We start from the raw sequence: 18,855 nt of genomic DNA on the forward strand, positions 1-18,855 counted from the left end.
CTTGGAGGCAAATGGGAGTGAGATGGATAGATGTTGTTTAGGTTTTGGCCTTCACATTTGCCTCTTCTTTTCCTGACTTCCATGTTCCTCATTGGCCTAGGGTTTTCTGGGTCTGGCTCAACATCTTCCACATTAAAGCACTCCCAGTTCACAGAGGACGACCCTCATGGAAATCCATTGCATGAGTATTTCCTTCTAAACACTGTCATGTTTTAACGACTGGACATCTGTTATACTTTTAAAACAGTTAATTCATGTTACAGTCAAAAAAATGGAAACTCTTGTTCTCCCTCTTCTATCGGGGGGCTGCATAATTTCTGTAGAATGAGAAGCAGGCAGCCATGTTTGGCTTTCTGCCTGGCAATCTACGGTCTGTTTCATTACATCTGGATGTTTTTTCTTATTGTGTAGGGAGTCTTTCATTGGGCTGTTGCAGGATAGTATTGCCTGTCACCACTGATCTTTTGGTTGCCAGGGATTTCAGGGAGCAATAGGGACTTCAGGGATTCTTGTAGTGTTCAGGCTGTGGGTCACTGTCTTGTTGTGGGTGCTTAGTTTGTTTGCTTTTGCCAGGAGGGTTTTCAGTACTCTAACAAGAATCTTTGAATGTGGCTTGGAATCCAGCACAAGTCAGGTCATTCTCTCAGGCAATTCTTGGTTTTTCTTTGCTTTCAATGGTGTTCCACAGTGCCCATCAACAGCACTACTGGATACAATTTTCAGGCTTGCAATTACAACAGACAGCCTTTGAGACAATGTCTCAACCTCATCTGCACATGTCAGAGGCCAATTTGAGGGGAGAGAACATTGCTTCACCTTGGAATTGCCTTTGTCGTGGTTCCTGCCTTTCCTATATAGCCCCTGCAAGGCCTAGGTTGAAGGGAGGCAGCAACATCAAGAGCCCAGCCATCTTTCCTGACACCTGCCTTTGGGGTCTCAGGTCTGGTTCCATCATCCAACGACCCCTCAACAGTTCACCAGACTATATTCCAGTCCCCATGGGACATGATTCTTTCATGCACCTTCTTTTGGGAATGGAGTCAGAATAGCAGTTTTCAGCTATTACCACACAGTCATGAAACACCTCCACCTCCAGTGGAACCTGACCATACAGACAGCTCAAACTGACCCTAATATTGAGACTTTTAGGGACCTTCTTTGTTTTATCATAGGCAGTCTTTTCCTGATACCAGGCCAGCTCTGCCTCTACCATTTTCTTCTCCTCAGACAGGCTGACAGCTCTGACAGGCAGGCACCCCAGACTGTCTTAGTTATGTGCATGGACTTATCTTAGGGCACCAGGTCTGAGCTGTGAGCTAGTGTCAGAATGAATGCCACTGTTTACTAGCAACAAGTTCTTGCTACTTGGGGTGGAAAGAGACCACCACTGAAGTGCATCCATGGTGGACTCTCACCTGTCTTTTCTGTGGGATCCACTGGATATTCCCATGAGTCTAGGAGAGGGCAGATGTGAGCCAGCCTGAAAAAAGTCAATCTAATCCCAATTAATGAACCACAAATCCCTAAGGATCCAAAAGACCCACAGGATGCCTCAGGCCTGCTTAGATGTTGTAGGGGTGAGTCCTTTACAAACTTGCCCCATTATGATTTCTAGGCACAGCCCACCTGTGTTCCCCATGGTTGCTGTTTCCCAAATGGGGCTTCCTGTGGAACCACAAAGCCTCAGAAGCTGCTGCGCTGTGTTTCTGTGGGAGTGTTGTGAGTGTTGATTGTGTTTGTGTGTGGCTTTGTGTGTTTAAGAGTGTGTGTGTTTGTGTGTGTGTGTGTGTGTGCCTGTAAGTGGAGTCTCCTTAAAGGAATGTGGCTAATGAACTTCAGGGCTTCCTTTTATTTTATTTTTTTTTAATCTCCCAATATTTGTGTCCTGTCTGCGAGGCTCTTCTTGGGCTGTGGTGCTCCGTGTTCTTTATTTTTCTGTGGATCATGAATCCACAGTTAATTGGGAGGCTGGCTGAGAAACTGCCCCCTCCAAAATAAATAAATAAATAAATAAAAGCCACTCTTCAAGAAAGAAGAGCAGCAAACCACACCCCAAAACATTTCCCACTCTTTCATTGTCCTATGGCCAACCAAGAGAGAGACAGTAGCAGTCCTTTTTGCAGGGCCCTTGAATTTTCCTGGAGTCGGCTTCCAATCTGAGAAGGTGCTTGACATCCTGAGGTGGCACTCCTTCATTGTCTTGAGATATCATTCTACATCAGAGAGTGTGAGCAGCAATAAAGTCAGATGGGGTGAAGATATTATCTGGTGAGGGGTGTATGGGGTCCCACATCTTCACCTGCAAAAAAGGTGAGGACAGATGACACAGAAGCTGCTTCCAAATGCAACCCCACATTCCCTCAATTGCACAAGCAGTCCACACCATGGCCAGTTGTTTAGGAGGGAGTACTGCAACGTGCAAGAAACGTTTGGAGTGCAAACTGGGGCCATTTTGGCAAACTGCTGATTTGAGGGCTTTTACACCCAGAGCCAGATGAGAATAGCATGAATCAATGCTGGGTGGGATGTGGCTTCTACACTTGTCTCTTCTTTTCCTGACTTCCATGTTCCTTGTCAGCCTAGGGTTTCCTTTGTCTGGCTCCACCTCTTTCAAACTAAACATTTTTCAGTTCACAGAGGACGACCCTCATGGCAATCCATTGCTTGAGTTTTTCTTTCTAAACAGTGTCCTGTTTTAATTACTGGGCAGCTGCGATAATTTTAAAACTATGAATTCCTGTTGCATCCACCAACAAAGAAACACTTCTCCTTCCACTTCTATTGGAGGGCTGCATGATTCCTGTTGGGTGAGAATCTGGCAGCCATTTCTGGCTTTTACCTCATAATCTAGGCTCTGTTTCATTACATTTGAGTGTCCTTTCTCATTGTGGAGGGCCTCTTCAATTGGGCTGTTGCTGGATGGAACTGTTTCTCACCACAGATCTTCTGGCTGCCAGGGATTTCAGGGAGCAAAAAAGACTTCATGTGGGCTGTCTGCACTCCAGATTGTCATAGTGTCATTTTGGTGGCTGAGAATGTTAGCACTTTGCAGGATGCTTTTGTGTCCTCAGACAAGAATATTTTAACGTTGCTTGGACTGCAGGACAAGTCAGCTTGCTCTCTCAGGTGATCATTGATTTTTCTGTGTTTTCATTGAGGGTCCACAGTGCCCCTCAACATTACTACTGGACACACTTTTCAGGCTTACAACACCACAGATGCCCTCTAAGACACTGTCTCAACCTCATCTGCACCCGTGAGAGGCCTGTTTGAGATGTGAGATCACTGCTCCACATTGGAATTGCATTTGTTATGGTTTCTGCCTTTCCCAGAGAGCCCATGCAAGGAGCAAGGTGGAGGCAGTGAGGTCAAGTGCCCGGCCAAGTTTTGCTGACACCTGTCTCTGGTGTCTCAGGTATGTTTCCGTCACCCAACGACCCTTCAACAACTCACCAGATTATATTCCAATCCCCATGGGGCCAGATTCTTGCACACAGACTCTTTCTGGAATGGAGTTAGAAGAGCGGTTTCCAGCAATCACTTCACAGTCCTGAAATGCCTCCTTCTCCACTGGACCCGACTGCAGGGACCGCTGGAAGGATCTGTGAGGTCGAGAATTTTAGAGTCCTGCTATAAGTTATTGCAAGCAACATTTTTCCTGGTGCCAGGCCGGCTATGCCTGTACCATTTTTCTTTGCTTAGGCAGGATGACAGCCCTGACAACCCGGCGCCCGAGCCTGCCTCACGAGTGCGCATGCGCTAGTCTTAAAGCACTAACTTTTAGCTGTGAGCTCTGGCTAGCAACAATATGAATAGCACCGTTGCCTAGAGACAAGTCCCTGCGACTTGGCAGAAAAGGACACTTCTGTGGAGTTGCGTTGTCGGTTGGCACTCACCTGTCTTCTTGGTTTGATTCACATGATATACCTAAAATCCTAGGAAATGGCCTAGGTGAGCCAGCTGGAAGAAACGTTAAACAGTGCACCAGGTATAAACTGTGAAACCCCTAAAGATCCAAATTATCTGCAGGCCTGCCTAGATGTTGTAGAGGTGAGTCTTTATGAATCTTGCCACACTGTGATTCCTAGGTACAGTAGCCTATGTCCCCTGAGCTTGCCCTCTCCCAGGTGGGAATTCCTGCAGAACAACTCAGCCTCAGAAGCTGCTGGGCTGTGTTTCTGTGAGAGTGTGGTGGGTGTTCAATGTCTGTGTGTGTAGTTTGGTGTGTGTGTATGTGTGTGTGTGCCTGTAAGTGCAGTCTACTTAAAGAAATGAGGCTAACCCTCTACAGAGCTTCTTTGTTTTTTAGTCATCCAACCTTTTGTTGGCCCATCTGTGTGGCTCTGCTTAGGCTCCCATGTTCCGTGTTCTTCCGTTTTCATGAATCTCAGTGAATCGAGGGGCTGGTTGAAACCCACCAGGTTCCAAATCAGCACCCCTTGTATAAAGAAGCCACTCTTATAGAAAGAAGAGGAGCACATGACACACACACAAAAACAGATATTTGTCAATGTTTTTGTCTTGCAGCCAAGCCAAGGAGAGGCACTTGCAGTCCTGTCCACAGGGACTCTTGAGTTTACCTGAAATTCAGTTTCCAGCTGAGCAGGTGCTTCAAGTCACGAGGGGGCACTCCTGCATCATTTTGGGATTTCATTCTACGGTAGAGAATGCAAGCAGCAATGAGTTCAGATAGGAGTAAGGATACAATCTGATGAGGGGTGGATGCTGTCCCACCTTCACCTGCAAAAATCTGAAGATATATGACACAGAACGTGCTTCCAACTCCATCCCCACATTTCCTTAATTGCACATGCAGTCAAATCATGCCCCGGGGTTTATGTGGGAGTATTACAATGTGCAGGGAATACTTGGAGTGCAAACTGGGGTTAACCTGGCAAACTTCTGTATGAGGGCTTTCAAACCCGGGGCTAAATGGGAGTGGGATGGATTGATGCTGGGTGAAATGTGGCCTTCACACTTGCCTTTTCCTTTCCTGTCTTTCATGTTGCTCATTGACCTAGCTTTCTCTGGGTCTGGCTCCATGTCTTCCATGCTAAACGTTTCCCAGTTCATGAAGGACTACCCTCATGGGAGTCCATTGCCTGAGTGTTTCCTCCTAAACACTGTCGCATTTCTTTCAATGACTGGGAACCTGTGATGTTTTAAAACTGTAAATTCTCATTAAAGCTGCCAACAAGGAAACTCTTATTCTCCCACATCTATCAGAAGGCTGCATGATTCCTGTAAGAAAACAACCAGGAAGCCATGTCAGGATTTTGCCTGGTACTCTAGGCCCTGTTTCATTTCATCTGCATGTCATTTCTCATTATGGAGGTGGTATTTCATTGGGCTGTTGCTAAATGGGACTGCCCCCTCCACAGATCTTTTGGCTGCCAGGTATTTCAGGGAGCAAAATAGATTATGGGTAGTCTGGCTGCACTCCAGGTTGTGGATCATCGTATTGATGTGATAGCTGAGGTTGTTTGAACTTTGTAGGTGGCTTTTGGGTTTGCTGAAAAGAATCTTTGAATGTTGCTATGATTCCAGCACAAATCAGCTCATTCTCTCAGGAAACTTTTGAGTTTTTGTTGCTTTCATGTGGGGTCTACAATTCCCCTCAACACATTACTGTACAGACTTTATACACTGGCAATGGCCACAGAGGGCCTCTTAATTGTGGGTCCCCATCCACCCCTCACCAGATAGGATGATCAGCCCTAACTGACTTTATTTCTCCTCACACTCGATGTCCCAGGATAAAATCCCATGACCATGGAGGGGTGCCACTTAAGGACATGAAGCACCTCCTTGGCTGGGACCAAATTTGAGGTAAAAATCAAGGAACTTGTGAACAAGTCTGATAGTGTCTCTCTTTGGGTTGGATAATGAAGCACTGGAAGATGTCTGTTTTTTGGTGTGGTGTGCTCCTCTTCTTTTAGAAGAGTGCTTTTTTTGAAGGGGAGGTGATTTGGATGTTGGCAGGTCTTGGCTTGCCTCCCAATTCACTGTGGATTCATGATCCACAGAAAAATAAAGAACACAGAGCCCCACATCTCAAGCAGACCCACACAGGCCACAAAAGGGTTGTGAGATGAAAACAAAAAAAAAGAAGCACTGAAGTGTCGTAGCCACATTCTTTTAAGCAGACACCACTAAAAGACACACACACACAGAGACTCCCACATGCATACACACATACAGTGCCAAACATACACACAGAAATACAACACTCACAACACTCCCACTGAAATACACAGCTCAGTAGCTCCATAGGCTGTGTGTTTCTGCTGGAAGCTCCACTTGGGAGAGGAACCTTGGGGAATACAGATGGGTTGTACCTAGAAATCACAGTGGAGCAAGATTCAAAAGACTCAGCCCTACAATGTCTTGACAGGCCTGTGGAATTCTTCAGATCTTTTTGAATCCTTGGGAATTTCGCGGTTTATTCCTGGGGCTCTGCTTGACTTTTCTTCAGGCTGGCTCATGTCTGCTCACTTTTAAATTCATGGGAATATCTAGTGGATCCCACAGAAAAGAGAGGTGACAGTCCATGGCCAATGCTCATCCATGGAGGTCTCCTTCTTTGCCAAGCCACAGGGAATTGCCACAAGTCAACGGTGACATTCACCATGACAGCACTGTGCTATCAGTGCTGTCAGCCTGCCTAAGCAGAAAAAGAATCATACAGGCAGAGTCAGCCTGGTATTGGAAAGCAGGCTACCTGAGAATACCCACTGCGAGACCCTACAAATCTTGACCTCAGGGCCGCTTCCAGCCATCTTCGTGGTCGGACAGCATTGATGAAAAGGGTGTTTCGAGACTGTGAGTTGGCCAATGGAAACTGCTTTTCTGACTACATTCCAGAAAGTGGTTGTGCATAAGAATTGAATCCCATAAGGAATGGAATATAATCTGGTGAGTTTTTCAGGGCTCTTTGGGTGATAGAATCATACCTGAGACCACAGATGCCGGTGTCAGTGATAAATGGTTGGGATCTTCTCACTGTCTCTCTTCATCCTGGGCCTTGCAGTGGCTCTCTAGAAAAAACACAAAACACAACAAAGGCAAGTCCAAGGTGAAGCAGTCTTCTCACACCTCTGACTTGCTTTTCATGGGTGCAGACGAAATTCAGACAGTGAAAACGAGCTGCATTGTGCTGGAGTCCAGTCAGTGTTCAATGATTCCTGTCAGATGACACAAAAGCTTCCTTCAGAGTGCTAACATCCTCAGCATCCACAATGAGACAACGACACACAACCTGGAGCACAGCCAGCCTATCTTAACTCTTTTTGGCTCTCTGAAATCCCTGGCAGCTAAATAATCTGTGGAAAGAGGCACTCCCATCCAGCAACAGCCCAATGAAAGAGCTCCACAATGAGAATGCTGTGCATATAAAATGAAACCAAGGTTAGATTACAAGGAAAAAGCCAGAAATGTCTGCCTGCTTCTCATCTTACAGGAATCATGCAGCGCTCCAATAGAAGTTGGAGAACAAGAGTTCCCTTTTTGGCAGCGGTAACAAGAATTCACAGTTTTAAAAGCATCAAAGCTGCCCAGTCATTAAATTGTGAAAGAGTTTAGAAGAAAACCCTCAGGCAATGAATTCTCATGAGGATCTTTCTTCATGACCTGGGAAACATTTAATGTGGAAGTCTTTGAGCCAGACTCAGAAAACCCTATGCCGACAAGGAACATGGAAGTCAGCAAAAGAAGAATCAAGTATAGAGGCCACATCCCAACCAGCATCAATCTATTCCACTCCCATTTGGCTACAGGTATGAAAGTGCTCAAACTGGGTGTTTGCCAGGATGGTCCCAATTTGTAATACAAATGGTCCTTTCACATTGGATACTCCTACCTGAAGAGTGGGAGGTGGTGTGAGCTGCTTGTGCAATTAATGGAATAAGGGGATGGAGTTGGAAACACCTCCTGTGTCATCTGTCTTCATTTCTTTTGCAGGTGAAGTTGCAGGACCCCATCCACCCCTCAGTAGATTGTATTCTCATCCTTATCTAACCTTATTGCCTCTCACACTCTATGTTCCAGGATGAAATTCCAAGACAATGGAGGAGTGTCCCTTCATGATGTGGAGAACCTGCTTGGCTCGAAACTGAATTTGAGGTAAATTCAAGGGGTACTGTGGGCAAGACTGCTAGTGTCTCTCCCTGGTTTGCCCTCAGGACAGGGAAACACTGGGAGATGTCTGTTTTTTGGTGTGGTGTGTTCCCTTTCTTTATAGAAGAGTAGTTTTTTGTTTTTGTTTTTGTTTTTGTTTTCCAAGGAAAGGTGATTTGGATGCTGGCCTGTCTTGATCCACCTTCAAATTCACTGCGGATTTAAGATTTACATAAAAATAAAGAACATGGAGCCCCAGAACTGACCAGAGCCACACAGATGTGCCATAAAATGGTTTTGTTATTCAAATAAAAAGAAGTTCTGAAGGGCGCTAGCCATATTCCTTTAAGCAGACTTTACTTACAGGGACAGACAAACACCCAATACCACATAAGCATGCAGCCATCAAACACTTACAACACTCTCACAGAAACACACAGCCTGGCAGCTCCTGAGGCTGTACAGGAAACCCCACATGAAAGACAGCAACACTGGAACAAAAAAGATGGAAAACAAAATGCTCCCAGACATCACAGTGGAGCAAGCTTCAAAAAGACTCACCCCTACAACTTCTAGGCAGCCTCAGAAATCCTGTAGATCCTTTTGGATTTTTAGGGATGTCATGGTTTATTCCTGGGGCTCCGCTTGATGTTTCTTTAGGCTGGCTCATGTCTGTTCTCTCCTAGGATCATGGGATTATCCCATGGATCCCACAGAGAAGATGGGTGGGAGCCCAACACCAATACACTTCCACAGAGGACTTTTTCTCTGCCAAGCCACAGAAACTTGTTGCTAGGCAATGGTGACATTCGTGGTGACAATAGCCAGAGCTCAAAATCAGGCCTGGTGTGCATTCATGAGGCAGACTCGTGTGCCTGGTTGTCAGAACTATCAGCCTGCCTAAGAAGAGAATATTGGTATAGGCAGAGACCCGATGACATGGGAAAAAGGATGCTTGTAAAACCCACTGTGAAACCCAAGATCTCCCAACCTCAGGGACCCTCCAAGCCATCTCCGTTTTTGGGTTCTGCTGGAGAAAAAGGAGTTTAGTGACTTTGAGGTCATCGCTAGAAACTGCTCTTCTGACTCCATTCCCAAAAGAAGCTGTGTGCAAGAATCAGATCTCAAGGAAAGTGGAACACAGTCTGTTGTGTTGTTCAGCCTTCTTTGGGTGATAGAATTATACTGAAAACAGAGGCAGGTGTCAGCGAATGATGGCCTGACTCCTGACCTCACTGCCTCCCTTCATCCTTGGCCTTGCAGGGTATCTCTGGGAAAGGCAGAAACCATGACAAAGGCAAGTCAAAGTTGAAGCAGTGTTATCACACCTCGGATTGGCCTCTTTCAGGTGCATATGAGGTTGAGACAGTGTATTGGAGTCTGTCTGTGCCAATGGCAAGCCTGAAAATGGTGTCCAGTAGTGCTGTTATGGGACACTGGGTTCCCCATGAAAGCAAAAGAAATAAATAAGTAAAATAGATAAATAAAAAATCTAGGCTCACTGAGAGAATGAGCTGCCTTTTGCTGGAGTCCAAACAATGTTCAATGATTTCTGTCAGAGAAGACAAAAGCCTCCTTAAAATGCAAACATCCTCAGCCCCCACAATGAGACAATGACCTACAACCTGAAGCACAGCCATCCTACCCAAAGTCACTTTTTCTCTATTCAATTGCAGTTAGCTAAATAAGCTGTGGCCAAAGGCAGTCCCATCCAGCAACAGCCCAATAAAAAAGCCACTCCAAAATGAGGAGGACATGCAGATGAAATGAAACAGAGGGTAGATTACCAGGCAAAGGCCAGACATGGATGCCTGCTTCTCATCGGACAGGAATCATGCAGCCCTTTGATAAAAGTGGGAGAACAAGAGTTCTCTTGTTGGTCACTGTAATGAGAATTTACAGTTTAGAAAGTTTCAAAGCTTCCCGGTCATTAAAACGTGAGAATGTTTAGAAGAAAACAGTCGCTCAATGGTTGCCAATGAGTGTCATTCTCTGTGAAATGGGAAATGTTTAGTGTAGAAGTCATTGAGCCAGACCAAGGAAACCCTAGGCCAGTGAGAAACATGGAAATCAGGAAAGGAAGAGTCAAGTGTAGAGGTCACATCCCACCAGGGATCAATCTATTCCACTCCCATCTGGCTCTGGGTATAAACCACCAAAAATAGGGAGTTCACCAGGATGGCCCCAATTTCTTTTTCCAGTGCTCCTTGCATGTTGGAGTACTCCCACACAAACACTGGCCCGTGGTGTGGACTGCTTGTGCAATTAAGGAAACATGGGGAATTAACTGGGAGAACATTCTGTGTCATTTGTCTTCATTTTTTTTGCAGGTGAAGTTGTGGGACCCCATTCAACCCTCAGCAGATACTATCCTCACCTGTATCTGACCTTATTGTGTTCACACTGCATGTCACAGGATGAAATCCCAAGATGATGGAGGAGTGCCCCTCATGATGTGAAGCACTTGATCAACTGGTAACATAATGTGAGGTAAATTCAATGGGCCCTGTTGACAGGACTGCTAATGTCTTTCTCTAGATTGGCTGCAAAACAATGAAACACTGAGTTTTTTTTTTTTTTTTTTTTTTTGGCACACAAGGGTGATTTGGGTGCTGGCACATTTTGGCATGCCTCTGAATTCACTGTGGATTCATGATCCACAGAAAAATAAAGAAAACGGCCCCCTGCAGGCCATGCAGAGCCACACTGACAGGCCACCAAAATGTTGCAAGGCTAAGAAAAATGAAGTGCTGAAGGGTGTTAGCCACATTCCTTTAAGCAGAAGCCTTTTACATTCAAACACACACAAACACACTTACACATACAAACACACAATGTTCTTGACTTCCCTGTCTCACTTCATCCTGCACCTCGCAGGGCTCTATGGGAAAGGCAGTAACCATGACAAAGGCAAGTCCAAGTTTGAGCAGTGTTCTCAAACCTTGGACTGGCCTCTCACGGGTGCAGATGAGGATGAGACAGTGTCTGAGGTGCCACTGGTGGTGATGGCAAGCCTGAAAAGTGTGTCCAGTAGTGCTGTTGAGGGGCTCTGTGGATTCCCCATGACAGAAAATAAAAATCAAGACTCACCTGAGGAATGAGCTGCCTTGTGCTAGAGTCAAACAATGTTCAATGATTGCTGTCACAGGACCCAAAAGCCTCCTGCAAAATCCTATCAACCTCAGCCCCCACAACGAGACCACAAGCCACAACCTGGAGTGCAGCCAGCATACCTGAAATCCCTACTGCTCTCTGAAACCCATGGCAGCTAAATAATGTGTGGTGAGAGACCCTGCCACCCAGCAGCAGTCTAATGAAAGACCTCCTTTACAAAGAAAAGGCAGTGTGGACAAAATGAAACAAAAGCTAGATTACCAGTAAAAAGTCAGACACGGCTGCCTGCTTCTCATGCTACAGATATCACGCAGCCACCCTTTCTCTGATAGAGTAGAACTAGAGCTTCCTTGTTGTTGGCTGTAACAGGAATTTACGGTTTTAAAAGTATAAAAGCTGTCCAGTCATTAATATGTTACAGTGGATAGAAGGAAACACTCACACAATTGCTTTTCATGAGGGTCGTTCTCTGTGAACTGGAAAATGTTTAGTGTTGAAAACATTGATCCAGACCCAGGAAATCCTAGGACGATGAGGAACATGGAAGTCCAGAAAAGAAGAGGCAAGTTTGGAGGCCACATCCCAAGAAGCATGAATCCATTTCCCTCCCATTGGCTCCAGGTATAAAAGCCCTCAAATAGGGTTTTTGCCAGGATGTTCGCAATTTTCACTCCAAATGTTTCTTGCACATTGGAGTATTTCCACTTAAACACTGGGCCATGCTGTGGAATACTTGTTCAATTAAGGTAACTCAGGGAAGAAGCTGGATGCACCTTCTGTGTCATCTGTCTTTATTTTTCTTTGCAGGGGAAGTTTCAGGACACCATCCACCCCTCATCAGATTGTATTTACACTCCTACCTCACCTTGCTGTAGCTTACACTGTATGTCCCAGGGTGAAACCCCAAGACAATGGAGGAGGGCCAAGTCATGATCTGAAGCACCAACTCAGCTGGGAACCAAATTTGAGGTAAATACATGGGGCCTGGCAGACAGAATGGCTAATGTCTCTCCATTTGTTGTCCTCAGAACAATGAAACGCTAATAGATGTCTATTCTTTTGAAGTAGTGTGCTCCTTATTTATTTATTTATTTATTTTAAGAAGAGTAGTTTTTTTGCAGGGAAAGGTGATTTGGACGCTGGCTCATCTCTGCCTACCTCCCAATTCAGTTTGAATTCATGATCCACAGAAAATTAAAGAATATGGAGTCCTGCAACCCAAGCACAGCAACATAGACTGGCCACCAAAAGGTTGGGAGACTTTAAAAAAAAAAAAAAAAAGAAGCACTGGAATGAGGTAGCCACAAAATGTTAAGCAGACTCCACTTACAGGCACACACACACACACAAAGACACACTGCCACACACAGAAGCAGACATCCAACACTTGCAACACTGCCCCCAAAACACAGAGCCCAGTAGCTTCTGAGGCTGTGTTGTTCTGCAGGAAGTCCCACAAGGGAGAGAGCCACCATGGGAAACACAGGTGGGCAACACCTCAAAATCTCAGTGAGGCAAGTTTCAAAAAGACTCTCCCCTACAAAGTTTAGGCAGGCCTGAGGAATCCGGCAGACTCTTCTGGATCCTTAGGGATTTCATTGTTTATTCCTTGGTCTGTGCTAGAAGTTTTTTTCAGGCTGGTCGAAGTCTGCCCTCTTCTAGGTTCATGGGACTATACCGAGAATCCCACAGAGAAGACAACTGAGAGTCCACTGCCGACACATCTTCATGAATGTCTCCTTCTCTGCCAAGCCGGAGGAACAGTCGCTAGGCAATGATGACATTCACTGTGACGCTAGCCAGAGCTCACAATCAGGCCTGGTGCTCTGAGACAGGCATGTGCAAGTTCTTGAGACAGACTCGGGCTCCTGGCTCTCAGAGCTGTCACCCTGCCTAAGAAGAGGAAAACAATAAAGGTTAAGTCGGCCTGGTATCGTGAAAAATGTTGCCTGCCATTACCCACTGCAGGACGCTAAAATTCTTGACCTTAGGGCCCCGTCGGGATGTTTCTGTCTTTGGGTCTGACTGGAGGAGGAGGTGTTTCAATACTGTGAGGTGTTCGCTAACCACATCTCTTCTGACTCCATTACTTAAAGGGGCTGTGTGCCAGAGTTGGGTCCCATATGAATTGGAATATAGTCTGGTGAGTTGTTGAAGGGTTTTTGTGTAATGGAATCATACCTAAGATCCCCAAAAGTGGGTGTCAGTGAATGATAGCCGGGCCCTTGACTTCATTGCCTCTCTTCATTTTGGGCCTCCGAGGGGCTCTCTGGGAAAGGCAGGAACCACGACAAAGGCATGTCCAAAGTGGAGCAGTGTTGCCATACATCAAACTGTGGTCTCACAGGTACAGATGATGATCATAAGTTTTCTCAGAGGTCATCTGTGGTGATTGCAAGCCTAGAAAGGTCCAGTGTTGTTTTTGAGGGTGAATGTGGACCCAGCATGAAAGCAAAGACAAATCAAGGCCCACCTGAGAGAATGAGCTTACTTGTCCTGGAGTCCAGGAAACATTCAAAGATTCCTGTAAAAGGACCCAAAATCCTCCTGCAAAGTGTAAGCAATCTCAGCCCCCACAACAAGACAATGGTTCAAAATCTGGAGCACAGCCAGCCTAACCAAAGTCAATTTTGCTTCCTGAAATCAATGGCATCAGAAAGATATGTGGTGAGAGGTAGCCCATCCAACAACAGTCCAATAAAAGACCTTCTCTAAAATAAGAAAGGATATGCAAATGAAAGGAAACAGCCTTTCCAAGTGAAAGCCAGACACGTCTTTCTGCTTCTCATAGTACGGGAATCAAGCATCCCTCCCATAGAAGTGGGAGAACAATGTCTCCATGTTGTTGGCTGTAATGGAAATAAGGTTGTAAATTTATCACATAAGCTGTTATTAAAACTTGACAGTGTTTAGAAGGAAACTCACACAATGCATTTTCATGAGAATCATTTTCTGTGAAAGGAAAATGTTTAGTGTGGAAAATGTTGAGCCAGACACAGGAAACCCTATGCCAATGAGGGACATGGAAGTGAGGAAAAGAAGAGGTAAGTGTGGAGGCCACATCCCACCAAGCATCAGCCCATCCCACTCCCATTTGGCTTCTGGTATTAAAGCCCTTAAACAGGGAGTGTGCCCCAGTTTGCACTACAAATATTTCCTGAAAGTTGGAGTATTCCCACCTGAACACTGGGCCATGGTGTGGACTGCTTGTGCAACTAAGAGAATGTGGGGATGCAGTTTAAAACACCTCTGTTTCACTGTCTTAACCTTTTTTGCTGGTGAAGGTACAGGGCCCCATCAACCCCTCACCAAATTATATTTTCACCTGTTTGACCTTATTGCAGCTCACAATCTCTTTCCCAGTTTGAAATCCAAAGATGATGGAGGAGTGCCCGCTCATGATGTGAAGTACCTGCTCAGCTGGAAACCGAATTTGAGATAAATTCAAGGGTCTATGTGGACAAGACTGCTAGTGTCTCTCTCTGGATTGGTCATATTGCAATGAAACACCAGACGATGTCTGTTCCTGGGTGTTGTATTCCACTCTTCTTTCTAGAAGAGTGCCTTTATTTGCAGGGGAAGATAATGGAGACCCTGGCTGGTCACAACTAGCCTACCTGTTCATTGTGGATTCATGACCCACAGAAACATAAAGAACAGGGAGCCCACAGAGCCCACAGCCCAAGTACAGCCACACAGACAGGCCACCCAAAGGTTAAGACGCTAAAAAATAAAAAGCCCTGCAGTGTGTTAGCCACATTCCTTTAAGGAGAAACAACTTAGAGGCAGAAACACACACACACACAGCCACACACACCCACAGATATCCAACACTCACAATACTCCCACAGAAATACACAGCCTGGTAGCTTCTGAGGCTGTCTCATTCTATAGGAAGCCCCAACTGAAAGAGAGCAACACCAGGAAAAGCAGGAGGGCTGAACCTAGAAATCACAGTGGGGCATGTTTCAATAAGACTCACCCCTACATCAACTAGGCTAGTATGAGGAATCCTGCAGATTCTTTTGGACCCTTAGGAATTTCACAATTTCTGGGGCTCTGCTTGATATCTCTTCAGGCTGGCTCACATCTGCCCTCTCCTTGGATCCTGGTACTATCTGGTGGATAACACAGAGAAGACGAGTCCACCACTGATGCACTTCCACAGTGGTCTCTTTCTCCACCAAGGTGCAGGGACTTGTCACTAGGCAAAGGTCAAATTCATTGTGATGCTAGCCACAGGTCACAGCTTGGGCCTGGTGTCATGAGACTACCACATGCATATTAGTGAGACAGACTGAACTGTCAGCCTTCTTAGGCAGAGGAAAATGGTACAGACAGAGCTGGCCTTGTATTGGGAAAAAAGACTGCCTGTGATAACCCACTTCAGGTCCCTAAAAGTCTTGACCTTAGGGCCCTTATGCACCATAGCCATGTTAGGGTCACGCTGGAGGAAGAGCCATTTCATAACACTGAGTTTGTCTTTGGAAACTGTTCTTCTAACTCCATTTCTGAAAAAGTTTTTGTGCAAGAATTGAATCCCATGGGGATTGGAATATAGTCAGGTGAGATGTTGAGTGGTCTTTAGAATTATATCTGAGACCCAAGAGGTGGTCTCAGGCACATACACACACGCAAACACACCTCAACACAATGCTACAACATACACGCAAACATTTAACGTTCTATTGTGGAGCAGTGTTTTCACAACTCAGACTGGCTTCTCATGGGTGTAGATGAGGTTTAAAGTGTCTCAGAGGCCCCTGTGGTGATGGAAGCCTGAAAAGGGTGTCCAGTAGTGCTGCTGAGGGGCACTGTGGACCCTCAATGGGAAAGCAAAGGAAAATCAAGGCTTGCTTGAGAGAATGAGCTGCCTTGTGCTGGAGTATAAGCAATGTTAAATGATTCCTCTTAGAGGACCCAAAAGCCTCCTGCAAAGTGCAAACACCCTCAATCCCCACGAGGAGACAACGACCCACAATCTGTAGCATAGCTAAACTTCCCAAAGTCCCTTTTGCTCTCTGAAATCCCTGGCAGCTACATAATCTGTAACAAAACCAGTCCCATCCAGCAACAGCCCAAATAAACAGCCCCTCCACAATAAGAAGCCCATGTAGATGAAATGAAACAGAGGCTAGATTACCAGGCAATAGCCAGAAGTAGCTGCCTGCTTCTCATCCCACAGGAATCATGAAGCCCTGTAATAAAAAGGGGAGAAGACGAGTTTTAATTTCGCACCTGTAGCTGGAATTTACGATTTAAAAAATATCAAACCCTAGTCATGAAAAGGTGACAGTGTTTAGAAGTAAATATTCATGCAATGGATTCTCCTGAGGGTTGTTCCTCATTAACTGTGAAATGTTTAGTGTGGAAGTCATTGAGTAAGAATGAGGAAAACAGGCCGAGGAAAAAGATCGCAGTCAAGAACAGAAGAGGAAAGTGTGGAGGCCATATCCCACCCAGCATCACTCCATTTCCCTCCCATTTGGCTTTGGGTATGAAAGTACTCAAATGGGGATTTTGCCAGTAGAACCCCAATTTGCACTCCACATGATACTTGCTCATAGGAGTGCCCCAACCTGAACACCTGGCCATGGTGTGGACTGCTTGTATAATTAAAGGAATGCAAGGATGGAGCTGGAAGCACCTTTTGTATCATCTGTCTTTATTTTTTGCAGGTGAAGTTGTGGGACCCCATCCACTCCTCACCGGATTGTATCCACATCTTTATCTGTCTTATTGTTGCTCAAGCTCTATGTCCCAAGATGAAATCCCAAGATGATGAAAGAGTGCCTTTTCACGACGTGACGCAACTGCTTGGCTGGAACTGAATTCGTGATAAATTCAAGGGGCAATGTGGACAGGATTTCTACTGTCTCTTAGTGGGTTGGCTTCTGGAAAATGAAACACTGGGAGATGTCTCTTTTTTGGTGTGGTGTCCTCCTCTTATTTCTAGAAGAGTGTTTTTTTGTTTTTGTTTTTGTTTTTGTTTTTGGCTGAGGGAGGTGATTTGGACATCATTGGGTCTAAACCTGCCTCCAAATTCATTGCTGATTCATGATCCACAGAAGAATAGAAAACACGGAGCCTTTCAGCCCAAGCAGAGCCATGCAGTGAGGTCACCAAAAGGTTATGAGACTCAAAAAAAAAGAAGTGCTGAAGTGTGTTAGCCAAATCCCTTTTGCAGATTTCACCTACATGAACACATCCACACACAAACACACGCAAATACACAATGCCACACACATGCAGACATTCAGCACTCACAACACTCCCACAGAAACACACACCCTGAGAGATTTTGATACTGTGTTGTTCTGCGGAAAGCCACACTTGGGAGATAGCAACCCCAGGGAACATAGTCGGGCTGTAACTGAAAATCATAGTTGGGCAAGTTTTTTTTGTTTTGTTTTGTTTTGTTTTGTTTTGTTTTGTTTTGTTTTTGAGACGGATTCTTGCTCTGTCACCCAGGCTGGAGTGCATTGTCACTATGTCAGCTGACTGCAAGCTCCATCTCCCAGGTTCACACCATTCTTCTGACTCAGCCACCCGAGTAGCTCGAACTACAGGAAACTGCCATGAGGCTCAGCTAATTTTTTTGTATTTTTAGTGGAGATGGGTTTTCACTGGGTTACCCAGGATGGTCTCAATCTCCTGACCTCATGATCCACCAGCCTGGGCCTCCCAAAGTGCTGGGATTACAGGTGTGAGCCACCACTCCTGGCTGGGCAAGTTTTTTTTTTTTTTTTTGAGACGGAGTCTCACTCTGTCGCCCAGGCTGGAGTGCAGTGGCGGGATCTCGGCTCACTGCAAGCTCCGCCTCCCGGGTTCACGCCATTCTCCTGCCTCAGCCTCCCAAGTAGCTGGGCAAGTTTTAAAAAGTCTAAATTCTGTAATGCCTATGCAGGCCTGAGTAATCCTGTAGACCCTTTGGAATCCTTAGGGATTTTGTAGTTTATTTCTGGGGCTGTGCCTGATGTTTCTTCAGGTTGGTTCACATCTGCCTTCTCCTAGGATCAATAGGCTAACCCAGGGATTCCACAGAAAAGGCAGGTGAGAGTCCACAGCTGACACATCTCAATGGAGGTCTCCTCCTTCACCAAGCCAAAGGGACTTGTCACTAGGCAACGGTGACCTTCACTGTGAGACTAGCCAGAGCTCACAATCAGGCCTGGTGCCCTGATACTAGCTCACACTCATTTGTGAGACAAGCTTGAAAACCTGGCTGTCAGACCTGTCAGCCTGCCTTAACAGAGGAAAATGGTACAGGCAGAACCAGCATGGTGTTTGGTAAAAGGCTACCTGCACAAACACACTGTGAGAGCATAAAAGTCTCAAACTCAGGTCCCCTTCAAGCTGTCTCTGTGGACGGGTCCCACTGGAGGAGGAAGAGTTTTGAGACTGAGAGGTGGTCGCTGGAATCTGCTCTTCTGACTCCATTCCCAAAAGAGGCTATGTGGTAGAATCGGATCCCATAAAGATTGTAATATAGTCTGGTGTGTTGAGGGTTCTTTGGGTGATAGAATCATACCTGAGATGACAGAGGTGATTGTCAGCAAATGACGCCTGGTCTCTTAACGTCACTGCCTCCCTTCATCGTGGGCTTTGCAGGGGATCTGTGGGAAA

At 45.7% G+C, this 18,855-nt stretch overlaps 1 long non-coding RNA gene across 1 annotated transcript; it reads right to left on the reverse strand.

Annotated features, from left to right (window-relative positions):
* Positions 1–13,059: 13,059 nt before the first annotated feature.
* On the reverse strand, positions 13,060–13,568 carry TTTY18 (testis expressed transcript, Y-linked 18). Its single transcript, NR_001550.1, has 2 exons — positions 13,411–13,568; positions 13,060–13,122 (listed from the first exon to the last, which is right to left on the reverse strand). It is a non-coding gene; the product is annotated as a testis expressed transcript, Y-linked 18 (long non-coding RNA).
* Positions 13,569–18,855: the final 5,287 nt, after the last annotated feature.

Source organism: Homo sapiens, chromosome Y (assembly GCF_000001405.40).
Source record: "Homo sapiens chromosome Y, GRCh38.p14 Primary Assembly".
In the NCBI taxonomy this organism is placed as follows: domain Eukaryota; kingdom Metazoa; phylum Chordata; class Mammalia; order Primates; family Hominidae; genus Homo; species Homo sapiens.